We start from the raw sequence: 11149 nt of genomic DNA on the forward strand, positions 1-11149 counted from the left end.
GTGGGAGATGGGCTTTGGTCAATTAAAGCTTGTTGAAGGTGTAGATAAGGGTGTTAGCTCCTTCATCAGTCTGAGGGTAGCAAGGACAGTTCCACTGCAGAAGCAGTGGCAGAGAGGCTTTCAGTTGCCCCTGGAGGCTCTGTCCAGGGAGTGGCTGAGTTGCTACTGGCTCGACAGCTCTGGCAGGGGGGTTAGGTAGAGGCCCAGGCCTGCAAGACTTGCCTAGTGAGAAGATACAGGAATGGGAACCCAGGTAACAGTCTGGCCACTTTTCCATAGGGCTGCTGCAGTATGCCCAGGGCCCACTTCAGTCTCTAGTAGCCTCAGATTTTCCAGTACCTGGAGTTATCATCAGTGAAGGCTGTGAAACAGAAAAGTTGGCAGCCTACTGCTCCCTTTGGAAGCTTTGCCCTAGGGAGGTATGAATGAACTTGTTGCTGGCCCAAACACACCTGTAGGAGGTAGCTGGAGACCCCAGTTAGGGGGTTTTGCCCAGTGAGGCGGAATGACATTGGGAAAGTGCTTAAAAAGCAGTCTGACCACATTTTTATAGAGCATCTGTGCTATGCTGAGGGTCCACATCAGCCCCTGGTCTCCTTGGACACTCCAAAGACTGAAGGTTGAAGTGGTTAAGTTGCAAAAACAGCAAACATGATGGCCTGCCCCTCCATCAGGGAGCTCCAGCCAAGAAAAAACTGAAATCACTGTCAGCAGGAGAACACCAGTGGGGGTGGCTGGAGGCCCCAGTTGGGAAGTCCCAAACAGTGAGGAGGAATGAATCCGGGACCTGCTTAAAGAAGCAGTCTGGCTATGCTTTTGTACAGCAGCTGTGCTGTGCTGGTGGGCTATATCCACCCTAAGTCAGCTGGGACTCCTTAAAGCCCAAAGGTTGGAATGGCTAAGTTGCCAAAACATCAAATATGGCAGCCCACCCCTCCCTCGGGGCACTCCATCTCAGGGAGAATTCAAATCTCTGTCAGCCTGAGAATACCAGAATGGGTAGCTACAGGCCCTGGTTGGGAGGTCCTGCCCAGTGAGGAGGAATGGGATTGGGGACCTTCTTAAAGCAGTAGTCCGGCCATATTTTGGTAGAGTAGCACTGTGCTGTGCTAATGGATCCCTCTGTCCCTGGTCTGCTGAGACTCTCCAAATCCCAAAGGCTGGAGCAGCTAAATTGCCCAAACAGCAAAGATGGTGGCCTGCTCCTTCTCTCAGGAGCTTCATCTCAGGGAGTCTCAACAGTGTTGCTGGTGGCTGGCTAGAATTCCAAGCCAGTGGCTCTTATCCTGTGAGGTTCTGTGGAAGTGGAGCCTGCAGGCTGTTGCTGCTCAGCTCCCTGAATTCAGCCTCTTCCCTAGGAATATGTATGAGGGTCTAACCTCCCACTTTGCCAGAGTTGCAGCTACTTCTGCAGGAAAGCCCAGGTACCTAAGGCTCCCAGGTCTCCATGTGTGCCTGAGTGGCTGCTGTGCCAAGATTCCACATAGCTCCATCAGACTGAAGGCCCTGGTAAAGTGGGTTCATGAGAAGATCTCCCAACCCAAGGATTGCAAAGATCCATGGAAAAAGCATGGGTTTCCAGGGTCACACATTCACTCACTGCTTCCCTGGGTGAGGGAGGTTCCACTGGCTCTGTGGTACTCCCAGGTGGGCTGTCATTTTGCCTTTCTTTTCTTCATTCTCCCTGGGTCAAGTTGTTTCCTTGGTTAGTCCCAATGTGAGTACCTGGATGTTTCAGTTGAAGGTGCAGTATTGACTCTCCCCTTGTGTTCCTCTCTGTGAGAGCCAAACACACTAGCTGCTTCAACTCGGCCATCTTGGCCAGTCCACTGCCCCCTCACTGCTATATTTTTACATATAACATGTACAACTCTATAAAGTACTTCATTATACTCATTTTACAGGTGAAGATAGTTTAGACACACAAAGACTGAATAAGATATAAGTCCTTTCCTTATAAGTTGCAAAATCTGGAATTGCCAATGTACATAACTGCTACGTGTCTCAAACTTAAGACGTAATCAGGCATTTCTAAAGCTCCACACTTTTTAAATGTTTAAATATTTTGTTAGAGTTTTAAAGAATGATTTACTTAAAAAATGTGATTATGGGGGTGTGTGGCCAAGATGACTGACTAGAAGCAGGTAGGGTGCACGGCTCTCATGGAGAGGAATGAAAGGAGCAAGTCAATACAGTACCTTCAACTGAAACAACCAGGTACTCGCATTACTCATATAATCAAGGAAACAACTCCAGCCAGCCACCAGCAACAGTGTTTTACCTACCTGAGACTGACTTCCTAGGGGACAGGGCAGGCCACCATCTTTGTTGCTTGGGTAACTTAGCTATTCCAGCCTGTTGGGCTTTTGAGAACCCAAACCAACTGAGGGCAGAAGGGATCCCCCACGCAGCACAGCTGCTCTACCAAAATGTGGCCAGACTGCCTCTTTAAGTGGGTCCCCAATCCATTCCTCCTCGCTGGGTGGGACCTCCCAACTGGGGCCTGCTGCTACTCCGGCAGGTGCTCTCAGGCTGACGGAGATTTGAATTCTCCCTGGGATAAGTTCCCTGGGGGAGAAGGGGGCCGCCATCTTTGCTGTTTGGGTGACTCAGCTATTCCAGTCTGTGGGCTTTGGAGAGTCCAAAGTGACTAGGGTGGAGGGGATCCCCAGAACAGCACAACTGCTCTACCAAATCATGGCAAGATCCTTTAAGTAGATCCCCGATCCGTTCCTCATTGGGTGAGACCTCCCAAGTGGGGCTTCCACCTCTTAGTTCTAGAGCTGACAGAGATTTACATTCTCCCTTGGATAGAGTTGTCAAGGTCGTGCCAGTTAAGAAGGAATGGGTCAGGAACCTGCTAAAAGAATCTGCCTGACCAAGATTTTGTAGAGTAGCTTTGTTGTGCTGGGAGATCCCTTCTGCCCCGGTAGGTATGGATTCCACAAAGCCCTCAGGCTGGAGTGGCTAAGTTGCACAAACAGCAAAGATGGCAGCTCATCTTTGGCCATCTCATCCCAAGAATTCAAATATCTTTGGGCCCGAGAACACCAGCAGGAGTGACTGGAGGTCCCAGTGGGGTGATCCCTCACCAGGCAGGACCTTGAGACCTCCATGCCAGGAATAATTGAAATGTCTGGCAGCCTGAGGACACTGGGGGAGGGGGCGGGGTGGTGGCTGGGGGCCCAAGTTGAAAGGACCTTCACTGGGCAGGAACTGGAGACCTCCATGCCAGGGATAATTCAAGTACATGTAGTACTCATGTACTACAGTGTGAGTACACAGGTAGGGGTGGCCAGAGGGCCCAGTTAGGAGAACCCTCACTGGGTGGGACCTCAAGAACTCCATGCCAGGGAGAATTCAAATCTCTGAAAGCCCCAGGACACTGGCGGGGGTGGCTAGAGGCCCCGGATGGGAGGTCCCTCACTGGGCCAGACCCCGAGACCTCCATGCCAGAGAGAATTCACATCTCTGTCAGCCCCAGAACACTAGCAGGGTGGTTGCAGGCCCTAGCTGGGAGGTCCTCACTGGGCGGGACCCCGAGACCTCCATGCCAGGGAGAATTGAAATCTCTGTCAGCCCCAGAACATTGGCGGGGGTGGGGGGAGTTGGCTGGAGGCCTGAGTTGAAAGGACCCTCACTGGGCAGGAACTGGAGACCTCCATGCCAGGAAGAATTCAAACCTCTGTCAGCATGAGAACACAGGAGGGGGTGGCCAGAAGTCTCAGTTAGGAGAACCCTAACTGGGTGGGACCTCAAGAACTCCATGCCTGGGAGAATTCAAATCTCTGTCAGTCCCAGAACACCAGTGAGGGTGGCTGGAGGCCCCAGTTGGGTGGTCCCTCACTGGGCAAGACCCCAAGACCTCCATGCCACGGAGAACTCAAATCTCTGTCAGCCTGAGAACACTGGTGGGATTGGCAGGAGACTCTGGCTAAAAGGACCTTCATTGGGTGGGACCTTGAGAACTACATGCCAGGGAGAATTCAGATCTCTGTCAGCCCGAGAACACCGGTGGGGGTGGCTGGAGACCACGGTTGAGAGGTCCCTCACTGGGCAGGACCTCAAGACCTCCATGCCAGGGAGAATTCAAATCTCTGTCAGCCCCAAAACACTGGCAGGGGTGGCTGGAGGCCGAGGTCCTTCACTGGGCCAGACCTGGAGACCTCCATACCAGGGAGAATTCAAATCTCTGTCAGCCCGAGAACACCGGTGGGGGTGGCTGGAGGCCCCGGGTGGGAGGTCCCTCACTGGGCGGGACCCCAAGACCTCCATGCCAGGGAGAACTCAAATCTCTGTCAGCCCCAGAACACTGGCGGGGGTAGCTGGAGGCCCTAGTTGGGAGGTCCTTCACTGGGTCAGACCCCGAGACCTCCATGCCAGGGAGAATTCAAATCTCAGCCCCAGAACACTGGCGGGGGTGGCTGGAGGCCCCGGGTGGGAGGTCCCTCACTGGGCGGGACCCCAAGACTGCCATGCCAGGGAGAACTCAAACCTCTGTCAGCCCCAGAACACCAGTGGGGTTGGCTGGAGACCCCAGATAAAAGGACCCTCATTGGGCAGGACCTCAAGAACTATGTGCCAGGGAGAATTCAAATCTGTCAGCCTGAGAACACCAGGGGCGGGTGGCTGGAGGCCTGAGTTGAAAAGACCCACACTGGGCAGGAAGTGGAGACCTCCATGCCAGGAAGAATTCAAATCTCTGTCAGCATGAGAACACAGGTGGGGGTGGCCAGAGGCCCCAGTTAGGAGAACCCTTACTGGGCGGGACTTCAAGAACCAAGAACTGCTTACCTGGGAGAATTCAAATCTCTGTCAGCCCCAGAACACTGGCGGGGGTGGCTGGAGGCCCTGGTTAGGAGATCCCTCAGTGGGCCAGACCCCAAGACCTCCATGCCAGGGAGAATTCAAATCTCTGTCAGCCCCAGAACACTGGCGGGGGTGGTTGCAGGCCCCTGTTGGGAGGTCCCTCACTGAGCAGGACCCTGATACCTCCATGCCAAGGAGAATTCAAATCTCTGTCAGCCCCAGAACACTGGCAGGGGTGGGGGGAGTTGGCTAGAGGCCTGAGTTGAAAGGACACTCACTGGGCAGGAACTGGAGACCTCCATGCCAGGAAGAATTCAAACCTCTGTCAGCATGAGAACACAGGTGGGGGTGGCCAGAGGTCCCAGTTAGGAGAACCCTAACTGGGTGGGACCTCAAGAACTCCATGCCTGGGAGAATTCAAATCTCTGTCAGCCCCAGAACACTGGCGGAGGTGGCTGGAGGCCCCGGTTGGGAGGTCCCTCACTGGGCGGGACCCCAAGACCGCCATGCCAGGGAGAACTCAAACCTCTGTCAGCCCCAGAACACTGGTGGAGGTGGCTGGAGGCCCCAGTTGGGAGGTCCCTCACTGGGCAGGCAGGACCTAAAGACCTCCATGCCAGGGAGAACTCAAATCTCTGTCAGCCTGAGAACACCGGTGGGATTGGCTGGAGACCCCAGCTAAAAGGACCCTCATTGGACAGGATCTTGAGAACTACATGCCAGGGAGAATTCAGATCTCTCTCAGCCTGAGAACAGCAGGGGCGGGTGGCTGGAGGCCACGGTTGAGAGTTTCCTCACTGGGCAGGACCTCAAGACCTCCATGCCAGGGAGAATTCAAATCTCTGTCAGCCCCGGAACACTGGCGGAGGTGGCTGGAGGCCCCAGTTGGGAGGTCCCTCACTGGGCAAGATCCTGAGACCTCCATGCCAGGGAGAACTCAAATCTCTGTCAGACTGAGAACACCGGTGGGGGTGGCTGGAGACCCCAGCTAAAGGGACCCTCATTGGGCAGGACCTTGAGAACTACATGCCAGGGAGAATTCAGATCTCTGTCAGCCCCAGAACACCAGCGGGGGTGGCTGGAGGCCACGGTTGGGAGGTCCCTCACTGGGCCAGACCTTGAGGCCTCCATGCCAGGGAGAATTCAAAACTCTGTCAGCCCCAGAACACTGGCAGGGGTGGCTGGAGGCCTCAGTTGGGAGGTCCCTCTCTTGGCAGGACCTCAAGACCTCCATGCCAGGGAGAATCCAAATCTGTCATCCTGAGAACACTGGCGGGGTTGGCATAGCAAGGTGCTCTACCAAAATGTGGCCACACTGGGTCTTTAAGAAGGTCTGTGATCCATTCCTCCTCACTGGGCAGGACCTCCCAACCAGGGCCTCCAGCCACCCCCACCAGTGTTCTCGGGCTGACAGAGATTTGAATTCTCCCTGGCATGGAGGTCTGGAGGTCCTGCCCAGTGAGGCACCTCCCAACCGGGGCCTCCAGCCACCCTCACCAGTGTTCTGGGGCTGACAGAGATTTGAATTCTCCCCGGTATGGAGGTCTCGAGGTCCCGCCCAGTGAGGGACCTCCCAACAGGGGCCTCCAGCCACCCCCGCTGGTGTTCTCAGGCTGACAGAGATTTGAATTCTCTTTGGGATGGAGGCCTTGAGGTTCCATTCAGTGAGGGACCTCCCAATAGGGGCCTTGAGCCACTCCCGACAGTGTTCTGGAGCTGACAGAGATTTGAATTCTCCCTGGCATGGAGGTCTTGGGGGTCTGGCCCAGTGAGGGACCTCCCAACCGGGGACTTCAGCCACCCCCGCCAGTGTTCTGGGGCTGACAGAGATTTGAATTCTCTCTGGCATGGAGGTCTCGGGGTCTGGCCCAGTGGGGGACCTCCCAACTGGGGCCTCCAGCCACCCCCGCCAGTGTTCTGGGGCTGACAGAGATTTGAGTTCTCCCTGGCATGGAGGCCTGGAGGTCCAGCTCAATGAGGGTCCTTTCAGCTGGGGTCTCCAGCCACCCACACCGGTGTTCTCAGGCTGACAGAGATTTGAATTCCTGGAATGAGTTCCCACGCGCAGGAGCAAGGAGCTATCTTTGCTGTTTGTGCAACTTAGTCGTTACAGCCCGCGGGCTCTGGAGAATCCATACCTACCGGGGCAGAAGGGATATATCATCAGCACAGCACAGCTACTCTACAAAATCTTAGAAGGCAGATTCTTTTACCAGGTTCCTGATCCATTCCTCCTTACTGGGCAGGACCTCGACAACTCCTTCCCGGGGAGAATGTAAATCTCTGTCAGCTTGAGAACACCGGTGGGGTGGTGGAGGCCCCAGGTGGGAGGTCCCACCCAGAGAGGAGGAAAGAATCAGGGATCTGCGTAAAGAATCTGCCTGGCCACTATTTGGTAGAGCAGTTGTGATGTGCTGGGGGATCCCTTCCACCCCAATCGTTTTGGACTCTCCAAAGCTGGCCCCACCCTCTCCCCCAGGCCCCAGTTGGAAGGACTCCCACAGGGTGGGAACTCCAGAACTCCCTCCCAGGGAGAATTCAAATTCCTGTCAGCCCCAGACACCGGTGGGGTAGCTGGAGGCCCTGGTTGGGAGGAACAGATTGGGAATCCCCTTAAAGAATCTGTCTGGGGCCGGCCACGGTGGCTCATGCCTGTAATCCCAATACTTCGGGAGGCCCAGCAGAGCGGATCAGTTGAGGTCAGGAGTTCCAGACGAGCCTGGCCAACATGGTGAAACCCCATCTCTACTAAAAATAAAAAAATTCACTGTGCGTGGTGATGAGCACCTGCAGTCCCAGCTACTTGGGAGGCTGAGGCAGAAGAATTGCTTGAACCTGGGATGTGAAGGCTGCAGTAAGCCGAGATCATGCCACTGCACTCCAGCCTGGGTGACAGAGCAAGACTCCTTCTCAAAAAAAAAAAAAAGAAAAAGGAAAAAAAAAAAAGAATCTGGGCACATGTTGGGAGAGCAGCTGTGCTATGCTGGGGATCCCTTCTACCCCATCAGTTTGCACTGTCCAAAGCCCACAGGCTGGAATGTCTGTGCCGCCCAAACAGCAAAGATGGCGGCCAGCTCCTCCCCTGGGAAACTAATCCCAGGCAGCTCCAGCATCCTTGGCACAAGCTGGCAAGTATTGGCTGAAATGACAGGTGCCCTGGAGAAATTTGAAAGGGTTATCCACATACGGTTGCTGATTATTTTCACAATTTTCCTGAGATGTCGTTATCATTCTCTGACTCTCTTGTCTATTATCAGACATTTGGCTCTCAGAGGTGACTTTCTGGCTGAAGAATGTGGATTCGTCACTGTCTTGTGCTCAATGTAGAGGGGGCTCTGTAATTCCAGAAATGTCCATATCTGATGAAAGAAAGCAAAGAAGAATGAAACAAAAAGAGATATGTACCATATTCATATGTAGATTCAATGCTATTAAGATGTCAGTTCTTTCCAATGTATAGATTCAATGCAATTCCAATCTAAATGAAAATGTTTATATGGAGAGGCAAAAGACCTTGAATAGCTAACACCATATTGAAGGAGAAGAACAAACTTGGAGGACAGACACTACTCAATTTCAAGACTTACCGTAAAGCTACAGTAATGGAGACAGTGTGGTATTAGTGAAAGAACAAACGGATAAAATGAGATAGGGAGTTCACAAATAGAAACACATTAATACATTCGATTAATTTTTGACAAAAAAGTAAAGGCATTATGATGATGAAACAGTTTTTTCAGGAAGGGCTGCTGGAATACCTGGATATCCACATGCAAAAAAAATAAATCACAGACCTTACACCCCCACCCAAATTAACTCAAAATGGATCAGCAACATAAATGTACAAAAAACTATAAAATTTATAGAAGGTAATATAGAAGGAAATACAGATTATCTTGGGTTTAATGATGACCTTTAGAAAAAACACCAAAGTTGAAGTCAATAGAAGAAAGAATTGATAAGCTGGACTTGATGAAAATGTAACATTTTTACACCATTAAAGACACTGAAAGAAAAGAGAAACCACAGATGGAAAAAAAAATTTGCCAAAACATATCTGATTAAGAACTATTATTCAAAACATATTGAGCAGTAAAAGACATGAGCTAAAGACCTTAACAAGTACCTCACCAAGTAAATTATACAAATGGAAAATAAGCATATGTAATGAGGCTACACATAATATTTCCTCAGAGAAATGCAACCATGAGATGCCACTGCACACGTATTAGAATAACCAAAATCTAGAACCACTGACAACATCAAACGCTGGCAAGGATGTGGAGCAAGAGGAAACTTCATTCATTGCTTGTGGGAATGCAAAATGGTGCAGCCACTTCTTGAAAGTTGTATTCTATGTACCTCAACAACATGGCCTTCACTGTTCATATTCCTATTATCATTTTGGTCGGCCACTTAACCAAGGTCTAATTAAGTTCCACAAGTTTCCTCATCTTCCTGTCTTCTTTGCCTATTACCCAGTTCCAAAGCAAATTCTGCATTATCAGGTATTTTTATAGCAAAACCCCACTCCTTGGTACTAATTTCTGTGTTAGCAACACAGAATAACACAGAAAAGAGCAACATGGAGAAACACAAATTTTTGTGTTGCTATAAAAAAATAGCTGAGACTAGGTAATTTATAAGGAACAGAGGTTTGTTTGGCTCACAGTTTTGCAGGCTGTAGAAGAAGCATGGCAGTGGCATCTGCGCAGCTTCTGGTCAGGGACCCAGAAGGCTTTTACTTGTGGCTAAAGGTGAAGAGACAAGAGGTATGTCACACATGGCTAGAGAGGTAGGAAGAGAGGGGAGAGGTGCCACACTGTTTTAAACAACCATCTTTCATGTAATGCAGTGAGAACCCACTCATTAGTGAAAAGAGGGCAAAAAGCTATCCAGGAGAGATCAACCACCATGACCCAAACACCTCCCACTAGGTCCCACCTCCAACATTGGGGATCAAATCTCGACACAATATTTGGAGGGTACAAATTTGCAAACAATATCACTCTCTTTTTCTCTTTAACTTTGGACAATTTGATTGTAGTGTATCTTGTTGTGAGTCCCTGGATTCACCTTATTTGGTTTCGTTTGGGCTTTCTGGATCAGGCTTTCTGCTTTCTTCCCCATGCTTGATAAATTCTCTGTCATTAATCCTTTAAACATTTTTCTGTTCCTTTCTTCCTCACTTCTCCTTCAGGCATGCCAATAATGCGTGAGTGGTCCTGCTCGATGGTGTCCCATAACTGTCTAAAGTTGTCTTCACTCTGTTTGCATTATCTTTTTTTCTGATCCTCAGGTTAGATAATTTCCAGTGACCAGTCTTAAAGTTCACTTATAGATTCTATTAATGGACACCTCTATTAAATTTTTTCAGTTCAGTTACAGTACACTTTAGATCTATGATTTGTTTGACATTATTGTGTAATGTTTTTCCTTTTCTTGAAGTTCTCAGCTTGTTCTTGCAAAGCTATCTTGACCTCAGTGATTATTGTTATGACCATTATTTGGAAATCTCTGTCAGATAAATTACATATCTGCACTTCACTCAGGTGCTGGAGATTTATCTTGTTTTCTTACTTTGAATATGTTTCCCTGTTTCTTCATTTTTCCTCGACTCTCTCTGTTGGCTCCTGTGCATTTGATAAGACTGGCCTCATGTAGGAAAAGGATCTCACCAAACTTTCCAGCCAGAGATCTTCAGGTACCTCTCAAATCCTTGTGTGCTCTAGTGTTGACTGTTTTTGTTGGCTCCCTGGAACTTAGGATGTGCCACGCCTTGTCAGTAACCAGAAATTGGTTAAGGTAGGAGCCAGACAATCCAGATGTAGCTAAAAAGTTAGAAGGCTGGAGGAGTGTTTCAGTTCTTTCTAGCTACATGATGAAGATTAGTATGGACATTTATCTCCCACTCTCTCTCCATTAAGCTTGGTAGAGGATCTGTGACAAACACACCTATGCACACTCTGGATGCAGCCTCTGATCCTGAGGAGATAGCTTCTGAATGTGGGCCCATTGTATGCTTACTTCTTTGTTTTCTATGGTCTAAATACACTCAAAAATAAAAAATCCTGTCGATTCACAGAGCAAAGTTGTTAAGAAAACAGTTCCTTGGGCACTAACTACAGAGGTTGTGGAATTTGATGCATAATCAAGCTCCTTCCGGGAAGAATGGGTAGGCTTGGATTTATTACTGGGTTGAAACTGACGTAAGACTGGTAGTGTCAAACTATGGTTCCATCTGCCAGATGAATTATACTTTGTAAGCCACATTAGCCCCCATGATGCCAGTATTTAAATACAAAGCTAGAAATGATTAATAGAGTGAGAAAAGCATGTT

Source organism: Homo sapiens, chromosome 2, assembly GCF_000001405.40.
Source record: "Homo sapiens chromosome 2, GRCh38.p14 Primary Assembly".
In the NCBI taxonomy this organism is placed as follows: Eukaryota; Metazoa; Chordata; class Mammalia; order Primates; family Hominidae; genus Homo; species Homo sapiens.